This window comes from Homo sapiens, chromosome 5, assembly GCF_000001405.40.
Source record: "Homo sapiens chromosome 5, GRCh38.p14 Primary Assembly".
NCBI lineage: Eukaryota > Metazoa > Chordata > Mammalia > Primates > Hominidae > Homo > Homo sapiens.
In genome coordinates this window covers 161272789-161296167 of record NC_000005.10, presented here as the reverse complement: position 1 = coordinate 161296167, position 23379 = coordinate 161272789, and the positions used below count along the sequence as shown (strand labels likewise).

Here is a 23379-nt window from a genome sequence, read left to right as displayed (position 1 = left end):
TACTATAATAGTCAAAATTTGAATTCCAGCTCCACCATTTAGTAACTATGTGGCTTTGAGAAATTTGGTGAAGGCCTTCACCTATAACCTCTGGGAAAAAATGCCACTTCCAAGGAATGTTGTGAGCATTCAATGAATCAGTTGCTGCAAAGCACTGGTACTTAACAGGAACCTTTAAATGTTCCTTCCTTCTGTAGGTCAAGGAAGCCCTCATTAAAGCCACCACCTGGCCCTTCCTTGGCAGATCTTTTATAACATTTATTCAGCTTTGTTTCCAAATGATATAAACTTTCACAACTCATTTTAATAATCTATTTGTTTAGTGTTTCCTCTAAGCAAAATGATACCATAAAGTAAACATGCAGAATGTCTGATCAGTAGGCAGAGATTAATTGGTCAATTATTATGTCCCAGCATATTTCATAGCTTCTATTTCTCAAAAGATTTTAGATTTGAATTTATAATACATGGCCATTAAACCACAGTTGAAAGTTAATTGTTAATATATAATCTTAATGACATTCTTTTTTGCTTTCTGCATAATTCATGAAGCTCAGAGCATTGTATCTTCCAATTAAGCGTTTGGTTATATGCCTTGTTTCCATATATCATCAGAGCCTATCACTGGCCATCTTTTTTCCTTATAATTTCAGAAATTTTACTGGTAATTGGTATATCTTGATTATCTACCAAAATAAATATACTCTTATTAATGAAAACTTGTTCTGTCTAGGTTTTATTATCTGTAGCAGTTGAGGCCTCTTAAAAATAAGGCATACAAATCTTCCCTTCTTAACACAAGAAAGAACATTATGTAATAATTTAATGTTTGGGAATCATGATATCTATTTATCCTTTGCTTTTAGCTTTGCAAGAAGAAATTATCCAAGAGAGGTGATTTGACTATCTGCATAGCCAACTAATTGTACTCCTGAGGCCCAGAATTCAGTTGAGCACAGTCAGCTGCAGGCTTGTTGCTTCCTCTCTAATCCTACCCTCTTCCCTTTCCTCTTCTCAGCCCTCCCCACCAACAGTGGATCTGGCTGTTATGCTCCTATTTTTGAATTCCTCCTTATTCTGAATACTGTGGTTACTTTGGCAAGTCACATATGTCCTGCATTTTATTCTTCAACACTATTTCTTTACCCTATTTGTATTGACATTACAAATTTAAGGTGACATCTCATAACTGGGGGTTTTAAGAAACATCAATTAGATGAAATTGTATCCAAAAAAATGCCTGACATAAATGGCAAGTACTTGATAGTTACCCACTATTTTTAGTTCTAGTTTTGTTATTAATTCATCTATAATTAGGCTACTATTATGAGCACAATTCAGTAATTAATTTCCTAACACTGTTGCATGCCTAGCACAGCTTAATTTTTATGTGTTCATATCAAGACTATAAATTCTTCAAAAGGGTACCATGCCTTCGATTTCTCTGCGTGCCCTAAGTAGAACTAATGAAAATGATACTAGCAACAGTCTATTATATAATTACATCATTACAGCAACCCTCTAGGGTTGGATTATTATATCATTTAATAAATGGAGAAACTGAACCTCAAATAGCTTTAGTGGTAGAGTCTCAATTCAGACTTTGGTAATGTAATCGCAAAGGTAGCTCTCTTTACCACTCCTATAAATCCCTTAAGTGCCGATCATAGTGCCTTGCCTAGTAAGCACCTGTAAAGCTTCATTGTTCTGATTGTCTTTTTGATTCTCTTCCCTTGCAGATGGACCCCCATGAGAACATCTTACTGAGCACTCTCGAGATAAAAAATGAAATGGCCACATCTGAGGCTGTGATGGGACTTGGAGACCCCAGAAGCACAATGCTAGCCTATGATGCCTCCAGCATCCAGTATCGGAAAGCTGGGTTGCCCAGGCATAGTTTTGGCCGAAATGCTCTGGAACGACATGTGGCGCAAAAGAAAAGTCGCCTGAGGAGACGCGCCTCCCAACTGAAAATCACCATCCCTGACTTGACTGATGTGAATGCCATAGATCGGTGGTCCCGCATATTCTTCCCAGTGGTTTTTTCCTTCTTCAACATCGTCTATTGGCTTTATTATGTGAACTAAAACATGGCCTCCCACTGGAAGCAAGGACTAGATTCCTCCTCAAACCAGTTGTACAGCCTGATGTAGGACTTGGAAAACACATCAATCCAGGACAAAAGTGACGCTAAAATACCTTAGTTGCTGGCCTATCCTGTGGTCCATTTCATACCATTTGGGTTGCTTCTGCTAAGTAATGAATACACTAAGGTCCTTGTGGTTTTCCAGTTAAAACGCAAGTGATTTTTACACATGGTGGCTAGACAGCCTGAGTGCTCCATGTTGTCTGTTTAGTATGCAGCCTACTCAGAGGGGAATAATTTGGAAGATATTCTTAGAAGGCTCAACAGCATTGTCAGTCATTTGGTCATAACCAGATACTCCTCATCTTCCTTTTTAAGGTCGGCATGCTGTTGAGATGGCATTGTCCTTATGAAACATTATCTGTAATGCCATGCAAACACATTACTTGAAGATGATCTATGATTTTCTTACTGAGATGATAATGGTGTCATGGGAAGATTATTCCCACTGGTTTCTAAAAGATTCTCTTGTGATTTGAGCAGGCTAGGGGAATCAAGACAGAGACTCAGGAAACCGATTTGGCCAGTCCCTTTGCTTGAGCACGGAGAATCAACTATGATGTCTTTCATTTTGGCATTTAGAGATGAGGAGACTTCTGGACAATATCATGCATGGTGGCCAAGAAAATTTTTGCTAAACGGCTATTTCCTAGGTGGTTAAAGTAAGAGTTAACAACACAGAGCAGAGTAGAAAATCAGAAACGACGGTTGTAACAAAAAGCAAGCAAGCAAGAAAGCATGACCCTTATCAGCTCCACACAGCATCTGGTCTATACATACTGTGTCTAGTGGCAGAGGGTGAGTAAGAGAGATTGTTTTTCCAACATCACTAGCTTTTGACAGCATACCTAAAGAGGTTTTTATAGTTTAATCGAAGATAACCATGAAATACAAAAATTAGAGAAATGAGAATTGTCTTAGATATTCAGGTTAGATTCAGAGTCATTCAAATATACAAATACAGAGCACAAACTAGCAAACAGATTGTTTTTCTCAGACGAAGTCAGCTGTCCCTGCAATTTTTGTCCCTATAATTTTATTTCTTAATTTAATAGAGTATTTCAAGAGAAGGATTTGTTCATCACTTTAAAGGATTCATGGTCCTCTCCAGCTTTTTTTTTGCTTCCAAAATTCTGATTATATTCTTAGGAGACTGGCAAAGTAAGGCTTTGGAGAGATTGAGTGAACTATATTTTCTTATATGCAATGAAATTCACCATTGTATTTTTCAAAGCAAATAATACTTCAAGGAGTATGAACACACAGAGAGTTAATTTGTGCATTCATTGGTTTGGGGCTTGATTTTCTTAAGAGTGCTTTCATTGTATATGTTGCAATCTGCCTAATCAAGGAAAATATGAAAACTAGTGGAAAATAATAACAAAGCCACATTAACATGATAAATGTTATGAGCCTCAGTTGATATTGCAGAAAAATATATAACTGTTAATCAGGCAGGCATGATGTATTTTTTTTCTATTTTTAAGTTATGCCATTGTGCTTCTTTCTACACTAATTGGACATAAGCATTCATATGTTGGACAAGAGGAGAATAAGCTAATATGTCTTCCTTCTATCAATATAAGGCTCATATTTTGCTTTTCTTATAGAAAATAGTGAATTGCTAAATTTTCCTTAAAGTTGAATTTGATTGAACTTTTTCTTGGAGGATGACTTTGCTATTTCTATTTTGAAAACAAAGAAAGCTCTTCTTTTTAGAGTAATATCCCTAATTGTGCATAGCAGCCAGTATCCACCTGTGAATAATGTATGTTTTCTTGATTCCTTGTTTCCTTCATGATTTAGCAGCTTGGAATATGATGGAGTACTATTGCCCTTGCATTCCAGCTGTCCAAGAACAACAACAAACCTTTATCCTTCAGCTTTCTGAATTTGCCCCAAAATGGAATGGTATTTTGTTTTTCACCAGTGTAGGAAACCTTGGCCATTATATTTTGATTACATAATCTTGAGCACCTCTGAGTATCATCTTTGGGCAGAATCTGACCAAGATTCTTCTCACAGGCTCAGAGTAGAGATTCCTCATGTTTCTCCAGGACACACTTTCTCCTAGGCAATCATTTTGGGGCATCACACTAAGTAAAGTGCCTGCCCCTTGTCAACAGGGGGTAAAGTTTGACTAAAAAACATCAGGAAGGAACATATTGATAACTCAGGGGCACAACTCCAAAATGCCATTCTGAAAAGGCTCTTCTAGAGTCAACTCAGAGCCCAAGTGTAGAAGTGGGCTCTTATGTGCAATCACTGTACAAGCCATAAAAATCTTTGATATTGCCATTTATGATTACAACAAAATTTTAGATGTCCAAGAAAGTCAACAGAACAATCCAGATCAAAGTGTAGAGAAGCATCTTTGCAGCTTGAGCCTCAAAAGCATAAAACCAGGAATTCATTTCTGCTCTCAGTGATACAAGAAACAAGGCAAAGGAAAAAAGATGGGACCTTAGAAGCAATGCCCTAGAGTAAAAAGCATACATTGGCACTCAGTAACCACAGAGATAGAAACAACTGACTCAGCCTCTCCAGAAATAACAGTAGATGTAGAATTTGTTCTTAAATATATGTTTCGTTGAAATGAAATGCAGTCATCAAATGCGAGGAGGGGTGCTAGACCTGATAAGTCTAGGAAGACCAGTCAGCTTGATAGCCAGTTGTTAAACTAAAGGACCACAAAGGTGTGTTTAGTAGTTCTGATATGGGATTACTATCAGTTTATACATATGTATAGATTTTCTTTTAATTATAAACAGCCAGATAGCCAGCAATTAAGGTGTTTTTTCATCTTTGTGAAATTCATGGACAAATTCTGACTCTAAAATGCACAGTCTACATGAAATCTTTGATCTCAATCTGTATATATATATATTGTACATGACCGCTAGTAGGTATGAAATGCATTTCAGAGTTGAAAACTCATGCAACATAATCATGTGTTTGCATAAGGAATGTTAAAATTCTTTCTACTACAATTTATTAACAGGGGAAAAGATTCAAGCAGTGCCATCTAGACCTTTTCTCTTCTCATTTCTTCAAAAGCAGTGCTAAGTAAAATAATAATAATAAAAATGGTTTATGAACCAAAAGACTTTACATTCTAGCATTAGGAACACACACAAAAAAATCTGTCAGCTTACAAAAGCACAACACATAAAGAAAGAGCAGTGGAATGCGTAATGGGGAAATGAATCATGTTTAAAGCAAGACTTGCATTAAATTGGCAACTAAGATAATTTCCATTTTCTATAGGTAACCGTGTTCCAGTTTAATGATTACCTTCATACTCAACAAGAAAAATGGCAAAGCAACATCATCAAAATAGGTCTTACAACATATCTACATGTATATATGTGTATATATAGATTCATATAAACATACATACATATATATGCATTCATATGTTGGAAAACAAAAGGAATAAGCTAATATGTTTTATTTCCTTCATTAAACCAGTATATGAGTATTTTTAATTTGGCAAACAAAAATCAACATACTGAAATAAGTAATACAGGGTACTGAGCATTTCTCTATCAGCAAATCAATGCCTACAGTTTTTATGAACCATTGCACAGTTCAACTCGACAATAGTACTGTACCCCAGAACATCAGAAGTTAAGTAGTTGTCACATTGCTTGTCTAATTGCTCTCTTTTTCAAGGAAACAAATAACATTGTCCATTGGTGAGTCAAAAACAAACATGTCTTAAGAAAATGAAAAATGATAAAAATTCCTCCAAAGAGGAAGAAAAAAAAAAAACTAAACCCCACCATGTTGGTTAGGGCAAAATACTAAGTATTCACAACTGTAGCAATCATGCCATTTGGCTAAATGTACAGAGTACATGTAATGTGAGCAACCATAACTTTCACTGAACGTGTGTAAATATTAAAACAGATTTCTTAAATATTTTTAACTTCTAATTTGTATTTTATGGTAAGGCAATGTGCTAATTCCGTTTATGGCTTAAGTTGATGTGTTATAATATGTAAATAATTAAACATGCTGTAAATGAATAGTCAATAGATACAAATAATTGTTTAGTTTTTTTCTTAATTTTTATTTATTTTTTACTAAGTACTATTACTGCAGTGCCCCCAGCAGAGTAATTTAAACACCCTTTTGCATAAATGGTTTGGGAATCCCAGACAGAAGGGTTTCAATTTGCTATCACACACACAGTCACACACAGTCACACACACACACACACACACACTCAAACACACATAATCTTTTGCTCACCCACTCTGTCTCTCTGCCCGTCTATGGGAAACACTCTACTATTTATGTAGTCAATATAACAAACAAGAGATAGCCTTTGAAATGGCAATTGGGAAAAGCAAAAATGATCATTGATAACTTAATAGACTTTTTTATATGTCAGAGTTCAAGAAACCAAAGTTTGCAACTTAAATCTCAGTTTTCAAACAGTAAAAGTTTGTATAGATGGCACTACAGAAAAATAAAAATGGTTATTCCTACCAGCTCCAGAAATGTGTTACACAATATACACTAGAAGACTTTTTTTTTAATAATAGTATTTTGTCCTTAGGTAGTATTGTTCCTTTCAACCAAAGACTCCAGAATTATTGAAAAACAAAAAAGGAAAAAAAAAATGAGATAATGGGGGAAAAAAAGGACGCTGCTTCACACCAAAGGTTTAAAAAAATATTTTCCAAATGCACTAGGAACATTGTAAAAACCAGAAAGGAGTGAACAGAATGCTAATGAAGATACTGCCCTAAAGAAATCTGTACAAAAAAAAAAAAAAAAAGCAGCACTCTTAAAAAGCTACTAGGTTTTTGGAAATTGAAGTAAAATATTTCTGTAGATATATTCAAAATTCTGACATCAAATTTTAATTTGCTTAAAGAAGTTTTATTTGTGATGAAGATCAATATGATTCAAATGATGAAAAACAAAACTGTATGTCCTTTGAGTTCCCAAACCAAATGTCACTGCCGTGTCACATCCTCTAATCTGATGCCCATGTGTGTGTCCTTGCGCCATTTGAAGCAAGTTGACAGTTCCATCAGTTTGTTTTTGTTTTTGTTTTTGGTTCAATAATTTGAGTTCAACCATCGTCATTTTAAACATAATTAATCCCAACAAAGTTGCCTATAGTTTAATTTAAACCTCACAGCATTTTTAATTTATTTTGCATGGGTGTTTAAATAGTTCTGTTACGAATATTGTCCCTGCACAGTTCTAAATTGTCCTTTTATAAAAAAAAAAAGTGATATTCTAGTTTCTTCACAATGTAGTGATTATCAGCCTTACTAATTACCTTGTAGCCTTTCTTAATATGCACATAATGCACATTTTCCGATGGCTAGAAAAATGCAAAACACAGTGGATATCATTGCATCTATTTTCATGTCTTTCTAAAAACAGGACTATTAAAATCTCTGGGATACATGAGATAGTAAAAAATGAGGATTATAAATGAATAGCACATAAGAATTATTTTCTTGAATTTAAACTTATTGCAGCCAGTTTCAGCATGTAAATATATAATAATGTTGGCTAGTGTGTAATTCTTGAACTAAGAAATATAAATAAAAATAAAAAGATTGTGTGTGTGGTTTCATTGTGTTCAGAATATTTCTTGTTTGAACTGTTAGTATGAGTTATATTGTAGAATGATGGCTTTTGTGAAATGAAATAAGAAGCCTGGGAACTTGGGACCTACTGTCAGGCAAACTTGAATTTGAGCATTGATTTGCCAGTTCTGAGGCGTAATTGTGTAGTGACAACCTGCCTCTCAGTTTTCTTATCCATAAAGCAAAGACATGATTTTACCTTTTTCATAGGGTAGTTGTGAAGGCAAAATGAAATAACCCCAAAGAAGACTTTAGCACAGTACAAGCTACGTGGTAAGTGGTCTATAAAGAGTAGATGCTATTGTTTTTTATTATCATCGTTCCAGATGATTCTGCGTATATCTCACAAATGCTATTACCAGATCTAAAACTTCACCAAAATTAGTAAATATTCCTTAAGTTTAGATATTTTACATTAAGGATAACTAATTAAAAATTTGGCTTTAATCCTGAAAACAAGGGATAAACATGAGGTGTTCATTTAGTTCACATTCAACATATATTTGCTGAAGACATTTGGGTAATCGCTTCTTAAAAATTGATCTTCATTTAATTCTCACCATATTCCTGAAAGTACAAGAAACTTGAGCTCAGGAAGAGTAAGTTCCTTGCCAGCAAGAGAGAAAGAGCCTGGATTTCTACCCAGGCTGGACTTACCCCCACATCCTTGAAACTTCTTTCTACCTCATCATTAAAACTGGGGAACAGGTTTGTCCAATTCTCATTCATTTAGGAGAAACATTTCCCAAAAGACGTGTGCCAAGAGGTTGCCATCTGCCAGAGTGTGTGCTAATACTGGAAAAAACAATGGTGAACACAAAGTCTCTGCTTTCTTGAATTATGTGGCACCTCTCAAAGGCAGAGAAACTCTCCTGACTCCAGTGAATCATTTAGTGACAAGCCTAGTGTTTTTCACTCTCAATGACTTTGGAATGCCCAAAGCAGCAGGTTGGTAGCCTCTGCTAACTTGAGAGAGAGGCTATCAGAACACAATTGTTCAATAAAGTCACAGACTAAAAAGAGTTATGGTCGAGGAGTAGTATAAGCTACATAAAAGACCCACCTATAAAATGCTTAAGACTCAGTTATCAGGTTATGTTGTAAATGGTAAAACCTAGGAATATTAAATACCTACATCTGTGCTTGACATCCCTCATGGTAAGTTTCGGTATTTGCTTTCAGCAGAGAAAATATTTGTAAGGTCACATACATGCACGTGCTCACATAAATGGTGATGGTATGTCAGGGAGTTAGTGTGTATGCATGTGAGTGTGCCTATGAGCCCATGTAGTCAGGGGAAGGTGGGAGGGCCAGTAGTAAATGCTACCAGTGATGGGGTTCACAGTTTACAACTTACCTCAGAAAGGGAAAGTCTCCAGATACTGTCCCCCAAAAAAGCTGGCCAGTTGGTGTTGGGATAATTTCACCCCTCCATATTCCAAAAACTATATTTTCTTAAAGTGGACCCTTTAGATACCCTTGCTCTCTTCTAAAACTTGTTCTAATTCTCAAATATTACATGCCATTTTTCATGCAGAGTATTTCTCTAAGCCAGGAAACCCATCTCCCAGAGTAATACCAGTTTAATGGAGAAAATTTTCATAAATTCATGAATGTTCCCTAAAATATCTGTGACAGAGCAATAGCCAAATGTTCAAATCCTCTCTCATCCTCTGCACCATAGCACCCCATCCCACTACGTGGATTAGAACCAAGAATAATCTTGGGATGACAAGTCCCAAAACAATTAGTCCTTTTATCAATGTATTGATTTGTGTGTATTCTGGTCTTTTCTCCTCTTTTGTTTCAAATAAGCTACAGTATTGATTATATATTTGTTTTTGCACTTCAGAAATCTTAATGGTAAAGAAAAGAGAAACTACTGAGACATGCAGATGAAACTTAGCACTCAGGAAAGTGAAAGTATAAGGGTAAGCGTGAAAGGAGAAGGGGAGCAGTTTCTCAGAGACTGGGAGGGGGAAGAAGGACAGCAGGGCTCCATAGCAGTAGAGACATGCAATCTCTTCAATGGTAGAGACCTGGGGAATGGCAGGCCTCAGAGCAGATGGCACAGTGACATTTAGTGTGCCAGGCCCTGGGCACCGCCCCAGGCATACTGCTAAAGCAGCAGAGTCCTGGGAACACAGGGCAAGAATCAAACAGGCTGGGACTCCTCAGCAGAAAGGAAATGTGGCATTTCCTACACAGTTTCATTTAAGAAGTGAGGCTCATCACTACACTTCCATCTGGGACCTGGTGGGTCCCTGGTCTCTCCACCCCAGGAAGTGATATGAGAAACAACAAGATGGACTCGATATCAGAATTTAATATGCTATTCCTAGAAATAGATATCCAAGAGTGTAGAGGTCATGGCTCCAGTTCTGAAAGATAGAAGGCTAATGAGACCCAAAATTTGAGTAGAGGATTAATATAGCCCATTATCCTATGTCTTGCAAACCCAAATGCATACAGGGGGCTTAGTGGGAATTGTAATCAAGTAATAAAGGTCTGATGTCATACAATAGGGTGTCAGGGGAACCATAGGGAACTGGTATGACATGCTCTAAAGACCCAGCCACTGTTGAACCCTAGCTGATTGTTGCCGTGAGGAATTGCAAGCTCAGTGTTGCCAGATTCATCTTTGAATACAAGAAAAAAAAAAAAAAACCAAAACATTGAATCCTCCACTTTCCAGACAGGTACAGAATGGTCAGAGAGATGCTGGCAAATCAAGTTTTCCTGTGCCCAGAGTTCTACGTGGATGTTTCTATAGCTGTCAGCCTCAAGCTGAATTTGAGGAGGGAGCATGTTAGGAACTCCCTGAGAATTTATGTAGACTGAGCAAACTTTTATACCATTTTAGCTGGAGCAATGTCCCTTTCCTGGTGGTTGACATCTTGCAAATGTAAGAAAGTAAAACAGGGCTTTTTTATGTGTTCTTGAAAGAGAAGAAAGTGATAGAAACATGTTAGTATAAATGGGTACAGAAAATTGCAAGCACACGTTTTCACAGTGTGAACAAAGTCTGTTTGGTTTTTAGAAGGCTCGCTCTGCATCAGCAGAGTGTCTCTCTCCTCTGCATCAGCAGCCCCTTACCCTCCCAACGTTTCCTGGACTCACTCTGCATTGAGGTGGGCCTGACTTAGACTAGCAGACAAAGCCCTCAGAAGAGGGATTTTAGTGAGAAGCTAAGGATTACGAAGGGGTAAGGAATGGTTGGAAGAGCCTTGGAGAGAGACAAGGGGTGGGCAGGGGTTCAGGACTCAAGAGGAGACTCAGGGAGCCCTGTCTTCACTACATCAACAACTCTGGTGATAGAGAATGGGACATAAATGAAATGAGCGATAGAAGCTGCTAACACATTTCCACCACCCTGAGACTCAATGTAGATTGGAGTTTAGTCATGAACCTGAAGTGCAGAACTAATAGAAGTTTATCCAGAAATTTTGGGATAAATCAGCAGTGAGGGAAGGAAGGAGTGTACAAATAGGAAGAAGAAATTGACTCTAATGATAATAATATATGTGTATAGCTGATAAAGAAAACAGTTTGAAAATTGCTAGTCTCTTGTGGCGGACTGAGGAACCTGGTCTCCCCCATTGGTGTCCCTGGAGAAGACCAGAGAAAGAAGGAGAAAGAAAGCAAAGGAGGGAAGAAAGAAAAGGAAGAGGAAAAGATGAAATTTGGAAACATTTTCAGCACCTGACCACCCCCCAGCATGAGCTGTGAATTTAATTCACACGCTAGAGCAAGGTGTGAATTATTGCCATATCTCTGCTGCAGAGGACACAAAATGCCAACCACAGGCATTGCATGCCACAGGGGGCTAGCTCTAAGCCTCAGGCACTTCACCCCTTTACTTGACTGCTACTCAATAGATTACTTACTTCTGTTTAGCTTCTGGGGATACAGCACCTTTGAGAGTAAAATTAGAAATAAGGCTAAATCCTTAAGATAGAAAAAAAAGAAGTGTTTATTTCCAAACTTCTATTTTATGTTTATGGTTTTAGATTTTTACAGTTATTCTGAAAAGCTGAGAACTGCCAAAGTCTAGATATGTTGGTGTTTCCCTTAATTTATTCGGGTGACAGGAGACAGTCGTTGAAATAAACTTAAATATGAGTAACTTAAATATGTCTTCTACAAATTTTTGAAAGCCAACTTTACTGCTTGCTTTATCTCTTTTTACGTATGGCTATTGTTATGCCCTCATTTAAATCACTTTTGAATTTATAAATGCAATACTTCTCAATGTGGAAGATTATGTTTTTTTTTCTACACCCCCAAACAAAGCCTTGAATATACTTAAGACAACACAGAGAGAGAAAGCATGATTCTCCTATCATCTGGACAACTAGACATGAGGAAGCTGAAGCTTCCCAAGGAAGCAAGTGATTTTGCGAACTTGCAGGCTAATAAATCCCTCCCAAAAGTTGTGTGAGATCTGTGTCAGGGACATGTCACAGTTCTGGGTACATTGAGAGAGGAGAGGCCCAGGGTAGAGGTCACAGTTGTCATTCTCTGCGTAAACCAAACTGGACTGAAGAGAAATGGAAGGGTTCTCCCCATGCCTCATTCTCTTTACAAGCTTAAGAACACCCTCAGAGGGATCAAAGCTCCATTCAAGGTTGGCGACCTTTCTGAAGTGCCTTGCCAAATCTTTATTTATTCATTTTAATTTGTCATTCCACTTGCCAGGAATTCATTTGAACATTTAGAGAATCTCTCACTATATATAAAACAAAACTATTGATGCATACAAAGTACAAAATGATTAATAAATAAAAAAACTTTTAAATGTTTAAGAAGCTTCATCTAAAATTAAATAACATGGGGGATCTTGCCAATTTGTAAGGGAGCTTTTCCCATTCTGGCTTTGGCAGATAGTAGGGACGCTGGCTCCTGGCTACAGTTCTTGTTCCAGGAGCAGTCTTGGAGCACTGGGACAGCCACTTTGGAATCCCTGGTTTGCAGTGGACAGGGAAAGGCAAATGCTGGGGGAGTTTCCCAAGCCCATACAGCACATGCAGAGCTTGGTGGGCTCTCTGGCTTTCAATGCCTCTTTCCAGGATGTATTAGTCAGGGCTCTCCAGAGAAACAGAAACAGCGGGATGTGTGTACATTTAGAGAAATACTTATTATAAATAATTTACTTACATGATTATGGAAGATGGCAAGTCCAAAATCTTCAGGGTAGACAAGCAGGCTAGGACTCAGGAAAAAGTCATCATCCCAGTTTGAAAACCATCTGCTGGCAGAATTTCTTCTTGCTCTGAGGCAATCTCTTATTCTATTCAGGCCTTCAACTGATTGGATGTGGCCCACTTACATTATGGACGGCAATCTACCTTGCTCAAAGTCCACCAATTTAAATGTAAACTCACCCAAAAAACACCCTTACAGAGACATTCAAAATAATATTTTACCACATATTTATGTAATACTGAAAAAAAATGAAAGAATATGCTATTTAATAATGGGTGCTTTTGCTCATAGAACCAATCTTGTTAGCAATTTTTGAGTTTTGCTGCTACTTCATTGGTTGCCCCTTTTCAGGGTCCTTGGCTGGTTCCTCATCTGCTCCTCAACCTCTTCGTGTTGGAATGCCTCAAATTTACATTTTCATTCCACATCTGCCTCCTAAACTCAAAACATCTTCTTGAGATCCTACTTCAACCATCTAGTGGACATCCCAGACACAAAATATTTAAAACTGATCTTTCTTCCAAACTTGATGGCAACTTTAGTTTCTCCCGCCAAGAACCTTGTAGTCCTATTTTATTCCTCTTTTCCTCTGAACTTGCGTCTAATCCATCAGAAAATTAAAGTGGCCATTCCTTCAAAATATAACCAGAATCTGACCACTTCTCACTCCCTTCTCTATTACGTCCCTTTCTGGGTGACCACTATCTTTCCCCAGATTATTTCAATAGCCTCCTAGCTAGTCTCCCCGCTGCTGTTCTTGCCTCCCTGCAGAATGTTTTCAACATAGCAGCAGAGTAATCCTTTTAAAAAGCAAGTCAGATCACATAATTGTTCTGCTCAAAACACTGTAATGGCTCCTCATTTCAATCAGAGTAAAAGACAACTTTCTTACAATGTTCTGAAAGTCCATAGGCAGCCTGGTTCCCCTCACTGGCCCCCTGATGCTGACTCCCCCTGACTCTGAGCTCCAGCCACCCTGGCCTCATTGTTCAGCTCAACAAGCCAGACACACTCCTGCCAGGGCTTTCACTCTGCTCGCTCTGTTTGGACCCATCTCCCTGGAATCTGCTTAGTTCCCTCACCCTCTTCAAAACTTTCAAGGAGCCCAATCCTTACCACCTCACTTGGTTTTGTTACCAACCCTCTACTCCCTAACTCAATATTTACCATCCTTAATATTTACCATCCTCAATATTTACCTCATTCTCTGCTCTACTTGTTATTTTCTTTACCCAGGCTATTGCATAGTCAACTTATTCATTATGCTCTTTGTCACCTGTCTCCCCTGCTAGAATGTAGATCCTTAAGGGTATGTGTCCTGTTTGTATTTTTCACCGATTTATCCCAATGTAGAAAAATATGTAGAGTAGATATTTTATAAATATTTACTGAATGAAGAATGAATAAATAAACAAGTTTAATACCCAAATACCTATCCAAGGCATAAATTGGGTCACTTACTAGATGAATATTGCCTTGGCAACAACCAAAGTTTCTAATTTAGTAAGTTTGGGGGTGGACTCACTGGCCTGTATTTTTCACAAGCAATCTAGATATTGTCATAGTCATTAAAGTTTGAGATCGCTGCTGAAGATCCCTCAAGGTCCTGATTTACCCTGACAAGGTCAGTGCCTCCTAAACTTCCTGAGTTGCCACAACAGGCTTCTTGTTAAAGATTTCATTCTATCTATAAATCAGCACATGGCCCAAAGGGCGTCCTGAACAGAGAAAAAAAATGTTTGCTGACCCATTTTTCTCTTAAATGATAATAAAAGTTGTGCATAATGATGTAGTTTGGCTGTGTCCCCTCCAAAATCTCATCTTGAATTCCCACATATTGTAGGAGGGACCTGGGCAGAGGTAATTGAATTATGGTAGCAAGACTTTCCCGTGCTCTTCTCATGATAGTGAATAAGTCTCATGAGATCTGACGGTTTTATAAAGAGGAGTTCCCCTGCACAAGTTCTCTCTCTTTGCCTGCCACCATCCATGTAAGATGTGACTTGCTCCCCCTTGCCTTCCGCCATGATTGTGAGGCCTCCCCAGCCACGTGGAACTGTAAGTCCATTAAACCTCTTTTCTTCCCAGTCTCAGGTATGTTTTTATCAGCAGTGTGAAAACAGACGAATATAGTAAATTCATAGCAGGAGTGGGTGCTGCTGAAAAGATACCTGAAAATGAGAAAGCAGCTTTGGAAATGGGTAACAGGCAGAGGTTGGAACAGTTTGGAGGACTCAGAAGAAGAAAGGAAAATGTGGGGAAGTTTGGAACTCCCAGAGACTTGTTGAATGCCTTTGACCAAAATGCTGATAATGATATGGACAATGAAATTCAGGCTGAGGTGGTTTCAGATGGAGATGAGAAACTTGTTGGAAACTAGAGCAAATGTGATTCTTGCTATGTTTTAGCAAAGAGATTGGTGGCATTTTTCCCCTGCCCTAGAGATTTGTGGAACTTCCAACTTGAGAGAGATGACTTAGGGAATCTGGCAAAATGAATTTCTAAGCAGCAAAGCATTCAAGAGGTAAATTGGGTGCTGTTAAAGGCATTCAGTTTTATAAGGGAAGCAGAGTATAAAAGTATGGAAAATTTGCATCCTGACAATGCAATAGAAAAGAAAATTCTATTTTCTGAGGAGAAACTTAAGCCAGCTGCAGAAATTTGCATAAGTAATGAGGAACCAAATGCTAATCTCCGAGACAATGGGGAAAATGTCTCCAGAGCATGTCAGAGGTCTTCGTGGCAGCCCCTCCCATCACAGTCCCAGAGACCTAGAAGGAAAAAGCAGCTTCCTGAGCTGAACCCAGAGTCCCTGAGCTGTGTGCAGCTGAGGGACTTGGTGCCCTGCACCCCAGTTGCCCCAGCCACTCCAGTCGTGGCTGAAAGAGGCCAATGCAGAGCTTGGGCCATGGCTTCAGAGAGTGCAAGCCCCAAGCCTTGGCAGCTTCCATTTGGTGTTGAGTCTGCAAGTGCACAGAAATTAAGAATTGGGGTTTCAGAACGGACCTCAGCCTAGATTTTGGAAGATGTATGGAAACATCTGGATGCCCAGGCAGAAGTTTGCCACAGGGTCAGGGTCATGTTTACATGTATCTTACTTATTTGCAACTCACAATTTTCTCTTCTCTTGACCCCAACACCTATTAGAGAAAAGGAGAATGACAATGAAAATGAGACCTAGATATTTTATATAGGGTATAAATAGAAAAGCCCAAAACTTAGTCACAAAACTAGCTACCAGCCTTACTTGCTATATGAGCTCAGGAACTTCATTTCAACCCTCTGAAGTTCAGCTTTCTCATATATAAAGTAGAAGAAATAATCTTTTGGTACTTATGTGAAAACATTCTGCAAAGTACAAAGTGTATATGCTATACCTATTGTTATATGTGTAAAGTATATATGCAGCTATAAATGCAAAGTGTATATGCTGTATATGCTGCTTACATCGACATAATTAGTCATCTTCATTTTCTGACCTACATTTATAATGAACATTTCTTATATTGTCCTGTCTATACCATATTGAGGATAATGGCTTACCATTAGATAAGACAAGAGTTCTCCCTGATGTAGACAATAAGGAGATATGCTGTCTGAAAATAATTGCAAAACAATAATAAAATTGACTGAAAGTTAGCTTTATCATCATAATCCCTCAATGGTCAACAATTTCAGAGGTAAAATACCACTTCCCCCACTGAGTCACACTTCTTCATTATCCCACCCACACCTTGGGGAACCACCTTTCTCCACTCATAACCCTTGTGATGACTAGGGCTTCAGAGCTGCCACATGATTCAGGCCTGACCAATTAATCTAATCTATCCCACCTGGCCACAGGGATTTGTAGAAAGATAAGTAAGAGACCAAGTCAGTCCCATCCATGGCCTGCAATCCTGGGACTTCAGTGTGTGGGTGGGATATGTCTTTATTGCAGCTGGATTTGAGGATGTGGCAGGACATAAGAGCGACACTCCTGGCAGCTATCTGCCAGCACAAGGAGAGTGTCTGCCTGGGGACTGAGCCAACACAAATGAGAGCAGAGACAAGAAATGCAAAGAGTAAGACCATGTCCAGATGGTTTCATTGGATCACATGGAGACACCTGTGCCTCTACTTTTGCGAATATGAAAGTTCAAAACTAGTCTTATTTTTGTATTTTACCACTTGCACTCTGAATATAACTGAGACAAAAGTCTTTGTTAAAAGGAGTTTGGTTTACACTGGGAGGCATGCTAGTGAAAGGTTAGTTCATGCCAGAAGTAAAGTGTGCCACGTGGCCCAATGAAAGAATCCTGAGTTCTAGTGCATCTCACTTCTGAGCTGCAGTTTCACCACCTACAGAGTGAGAGAGGGAGAGAAAAGTAGAATAGATGATTGAAGGATGATTCAAAATTTCCTTCAGACTCCAAAAGTTTCCAAGTCTATCTCAGGCATAACTTGGTACATGACGGAAATTCTGGAAACTGCTCTAGCTTTGAAAATAGAAGAAGGACCTTGAACCACCTGCCAAAACATATCAATTAAACATGCAAAACATAATTTCTATAATGCATTACGACACTGGATTGACTATATGGAAATCCTGAGGTAATTAACATGAGTGGCTGCCACAGCATCTCATTTTTGCCATTACAACTACATTTTGGTGTCAAAAGCACATGAGTCTTCTGTATTTACATTCGTTCTGTTAGTGCATTATAATTACAGATGTAATCAAAAAGAGAGGTTTGATTTTTCACCTAAATGACACCTTTAATCACTTCTGAATGAGGCATGACTCCAATTAGAGATATCTCAAAAAATTATGCCTAATAGTATCAGTTATCAGAATTCCAAATAGAAGACTTTTATTTCAATGCCATTTCCCTTTATTCTATTTTCCTAGGGAAGGACAGTTTCCTGCATGTGATGGCACAGGGTAAAATCCTTATGACTGATTTTTTTCTTGATTAAAATAAATTCAACAAACTGTTTTTGACTCCTTACCAAATACCAAGTAGGATAGAAGTTGAGAAGTGAAAAAGTCTTCCAAACCTGCACACAATCGATTTAGAATGTAATGGAGGATGCAGATGGATGAATTAGGCCTTAAGGAACCAGTAGACAAGCAGAGAAAGGGAAGCACATATCATGCAAAAGAAATTGCCTAAGTGACTATAAAGTCTGGGAGATGGAAGGAGAGATATTAAATCTGAAAATGTAACCAAGTAAAGACGAGATAATACTGGGATAGGGTGGGCCCTAATCCAAGGATTGTTGTTCTCATAAGAAGAGGAAATTTGGACACAGAGACCAAAAGGAAGATGGCTCTGTTAAGACGAAGACAGAGATTGGAGTTGTGCTACCACAAACTAAGAATCCCAAAGATTGCTGGCAACCACTAGAAGCTAGGAAGAAGCATGGAAACATCCTCCCCTAAATCCTGCAGCGTCTGGCCCTGCCACCCACCATGGGAAGGGGATGCCCCTGGAAGCTACTGATTCCAATAAAAGAGGGGCAAAGAGAGTAGATCTAAATTCTGCATACTGTCTATAGCAGAGCTTTCTCAGCTGACCAGCAGATCCATGAGCCAAGAACAAATACTTGCTCCTTTAAGCTATGAAGATGGGAATTCTTTGCTATATCACATTATTGCATTTTTAAAAACAAGCTGTTACATTGACCTAGGTCCTTTTCCCTTGGCTTTTATCTTCTTTCCTCCCTGCAATTATCTACTTTCAGGTTTCTCTGACTTTTCTGAAGCAGTCATTTTATCTGATAGTCAACTTTTTTCCCATACCTGGTGATTCAACATCCTATCATAGATATTTGAATAGTTCAAAACCCCTCACTTCCACACACTAGAATGGAAAGAATTTTCTCCTGAAGCTGTATGGCAACATGGTTTCTGAGATAAAGCCCCATACAGTTTATTGCTTTTGTTCATTTAAAGCATTTCTCCTGAAGTTAGAAGTTTGGCAGAAGTAACCATAGTAACAATGAAAAAGGCTCTCGTTCTCTGTGCATCATTATGCCCAGCAATATGGCTTGTGCAGGCAGGAACTCAACTGGTATCCAGCAGATAAGTATATGAGTGATTGAATGACCATGGTTGCTTTTATTTTAAGGCAGAAAATACATTAAAATACCCAAGGTGTCCATTTTGGAAAATAGATTTTAAACATTGAAAAGGAGGTTGGTTGTTCAAATGGCAGTGTATGCACTTTATAGAATTTCCACAACTTCAGTGGCCAAGGGAGGTAGGGGATATAAAATATTTACAACAGAAGTAAAGGGTCATGGTTAACAGCAAGGGCTTTAGCATCACAGTCTCTAGAACTGAAGTCCTACTCCTTATGATATAAGTCCCTGGGCAAAATACAGAACCAGTCCTTAATTTCCTCTCCTCATCTGTAAACAGGTGATGATAAATACCAATACCAATTTCATAATTTCTTTCTGAGGATTATATGATTTAATTATCATTGAATATTCAGCACACAAAGTGCTTGCTAAATAAATCCTAGCTAGTATTATTGCTGTTGTTATTTACTGTTTTATTATAGTTCAGATCGTGTTATGTACTGAATACTCGTGTCTCCCTGAAATTCAGGTGTTGAATAACCCCCATTGTGATGGTATTTGGATGTTGAGCCTTTGGGAGGTAATCAGGGTTAGTTTAGGTCATGAAGGTGGGGCCTTCATGGCTGCATAGGTGGCTTTATAAAAGGAAAAAGACAGAGAGTTCTACTTCTCTCTCTCTCCATGCACAGATGGATAAAAAGCTGTATGAGGACATTGTTGAGAAGGCAGCCATCTATAAGCTTGCAAGAAAGCTCTCACCAGGAACTGAATCAGCTGGCATCTTGATCATGGAAATTCCAGTCTCCAGAACTGTGAGAATATAAATTTCTGTTTTTCAAGCAATCTAGTCCATGATATTTTGTTACAGCAGCCCTAGCCTGCTAAAGCAGATTTCATTCCTTTTTTATTCTCCTAGCTAGCACATTCTTTATGACGCTGAATACTTTCTTAATCATTCATCTTAGAGTTTGCTTTCTCAGTCATTCATCTTAGAGTTTTCTATAATCTTTCGATGATTTAGGACTCTTTAAGGTTCAAGTAACAGAAACTCAACTCAAATTTACATAAGCCAAAATAGAGGTTCATTTGCTTATATAGGTAATGGGGAGAGATTACTTTGGTCCCTTTTCTCTGTCTACCCTGTTTTTAACTCACCTTCCATTTGCTCAAGAGAGACAGAGGTGCTAAACTAATTGCCCAGACTGTGAAATCATAAAAGGCCTTGTTTGCTGCTATCCCAAAGTGACTGCACAGCCACACTGTATACATGGTCACTCCATATACCGTGGGATGGATATTTCTTACAAGAGTGATATGTTGGATTCCGTGTGTTATGAAGGGATAGGATACATCCTATGTATCAAAATTTTTTCTTACTGCCAAAGACAAACCAATTGATCCAACAAAAAGGATGCCACTATTCCTAATGAATAGGCCCTAGGAGTAGAAAAAATACATCCATTGTATAGAATATAATTTATTGCTCTGAAGATATTAATCGATTGCCTGAGAGGCCAAACTAAATGGCAATATATTTAAGTAAAAGTAAGAAAGACTTCAGCTAGACTAGAGCAGCTGCAGTCCATCTTCTCCCTTAAAAAAAAGGCTCAGAATTTACTCCTGATAGTGAATGTGAAATTTCTGATACTGGTAAACAATCAATCAGCATTAATTTGTACCGGCATTATTATCATCACCAGCATTATTTGCAAGTAACCTGCTAGGGACCATAAATTGAAAGGAGAATAGCCTCAGATCTTTCCCCAGCTCTTGAGGGGCTTATGTTCTAGAGTAAGATCCTTACTGGTGATATTCCTGTCAAAGGCCCTCCTCTAAAATTTGCATCTTAGAATTTCATGTTTCGCAGCTGTGTGATGTAGCAACTAATTTGACATAATTTACTACATTAGTGTTCATGACTGGGGAAACGACACCTCTCTTTTGACATGATCAGGACAAGAGCCCAGCCTTATATTCCCTCAGGACTGATTAGTCACTAGACTGGAGTGGCTTTTCCTGGAGGCAAAGCCTTTCCATAGAGCTTTCCATTATGACAAACTCCTTAAGTGGGTGGCACTTTAGGTTTTGGAAGATCAGTCTTGGACAAGTTACTGCTTACTCTTATTTGCAGTACTGTACTATAAAGGGAATTGCTAAGACAAACTATATGAATGTTTTTGAAAATTTCATACATTTCACTGAACCATGCTTTTTATCTTCTGTAAATGATAGTAACTGCTTACCCAATTCTCTCACTGTTACAGTTTTGCTCATCTTAAAGCATTTTCCAATTTGTTATTCATGAAAAAACAACCATTTTCTTTTGCATTTATTTGATTGTTAGTGAGATTAAATTTTTTTATGTTTATTGCCCATTTTTATTTCTTATTTTGTGAGCTGCCCAGAAGGCACAAATTTGAAAATAGATACATTTCTGGGCTACCAGTTTAAACAGAGTTGAGCTCAGCAAAATGACAAGCAGCTTATAATTGGACCAATACCCACAAATGATCTTTCTTGAAGGATGTTTTTAAAAAAACTGTATTATTTCTGATTACTTCTGGCAAAGTCCTTTGCTTTTCTCCTCCTACTAATGAGTGATCAAAAACAGCAACATGACTATCTTTGTCAATCAGTGTATTTTATTGTTCTTTTCCCAATGATTTTTAGGTACATGTTATGGGTATGTATCTGGAGACACTGAAATATCCATCTTAGTTTTTGGAATAATGAAAAGGCTGGAGAAATAGATTTAGATTCTTGTCAAAATTATTTTAGAAGACATTCCACAGTCATAAAAGAACTCTATTGATCCTTGGTACTTAATCCAGTCTGCTATCATTCCACTACTTCCTTTCTAATATAATCTAGCAATTATAAACTATAATTACCAATCTTCTACTTAGTCATGAGACCACATCAAATGAGAATCAAGTTAATACCTGAGTCCCTAGACAAGACTTTTTCAAAATTTACATGCTGGTGAGTCGCTTGCATCTGAATCACCTGGGTTTGTCCCATTTCTTATTCATCAAATCATGGTTTCTGGAATTAAAACTTAAAGAAGCTTCATTTTTTAAACAAGTCAGGGGGTATTCTGTTACATACTGTTATCTAAGATATTTAATTATTACCTCTCTTTCTTTGGGGATGGGGGCAAGCATTTGAATGACTCAACTTTGATTTCAGCCTCTCATAGATTTTGCTGTGGTATTTATGCACTGATCATGTTAATTCCCTTGTTAACTCAAGTAGAGTGAGAAAAAAGGAAAAACGATGACGTGAGAGAATCAACTTGCAGAAAAAAATTAACTATTAATGATCCAGAAGATTTGGATGAACAATATTCCCCTGTCTTGCCAAAAAAGAAAACAAAACAAAACCAAAAACCCAGAGCATTTCTTATTTAAGAGTGCCTTCACTTAGCTATTTTAATAAGACCTAGTCAACTGAAAAACATCTTTGCACAAATGACAAAGAACAGTGTCTCATGTATAAAAACTGTAGTGTCCTGAGAGTCATGCTGGATGGGCTTAGAGCCAGGACAGATCTGGATATGAATCCTAGATTCTCTCATTAGCTCAGTGGCCTTGCTAGAACAACTTTCTGATCTACTTCATTATCTGTAAAATGTGGCTAAAAGTTATTCTTCTTTGTAAGTTTATAAATATTTGCAAATTTCCTAGCCCTTGATAGATACTTAGTAAAGCCCAAGATAGCAACTGATTAATCAAAATATGTACTATGTGCAAGGTCAAAGAATATATATGGCATGACATCGAGTTGCAGGAGCTTGTAATTTGTAGATTTTACGTATTTAATATAGGAGGATTTGATGAGTCTATTTTGCGGACCCCAAAGATGAGAAACAAGAACAGGCATCAAGGCTTTTTCCCCTCATCTCAGATTATACAATAATTCTCAGATTATATGATAATTGAGTTACAAGATATCAATTATTATATGATAATTAAATTATGAGTTATCAATTATTATATGATAATTGAGTTACCATATAATCTGAGATGAATATATTCAATTACTAGAAGCAAGTTCCTAGCTTCAAAATTGTTTAATTTTTTTGGTTGTTGTTGTTACTGAAATTTTCTTTCTCTGGCAAAGACAAACCAGTTGATCCAATAAAAAGAAAGCCACTATTCCTAATGAGTGGGTTCTAGGGGTAGAAAAATGAATAAGAAACAAGCCTCTACCTCTGATGTAAAAATGGCAGAGAATGACCAGGGAAAAGACCCTGCTTTTAATGTCAGAAGTATAGGAAAAGATTCTGAAAGGATTCGTTCTGTATGGATGTGCTACAGTGCACATCCAATTCACATGACG

At 37.8% G+C, this 23379-nt stretch overlaps 1 protein-coding gene across 3 annotated transcripts in view, besides 1 other annotated feature; it reads left to right on the top strand.

Annotated features, from left to right (window-relative positions):
* The window catches only part of GABRB2 (gamma-aminobutyric acid type A receptor subunit beta2), a 259969-nt gene extending 252237 nt beyond the window's left edge, over window positions 1-7732 (top strand). For all 3 annotated transcript variants that reach the window (NM_000813.3, NM_021911.3, NM_001371727.1), the window contains one exon: window positions 1740-7732. In NM_000813.3, the coding sequence (NP_000804.1) occupies window positions 1740-2087 (348 nt within the window). In that variant the 3' untranslated portion in view covers window positions 2088-7732. The remainder of the gene's footprint in view (window positions 1-1739) is intronic.
* Window positions 9613-9982: an enhancer, noted in NCBI's record as "active region_23572". NCBI's record gives its function as "activates an Ori minimal core promoter by ATAC-STARR-seq in GM12878 lymphoblastoid cells {active_cell/tissue: GM12878}" and the evidence as "EXISTENCE:reporter gene assay evidence [ECO:0000049][PMID:35858748]".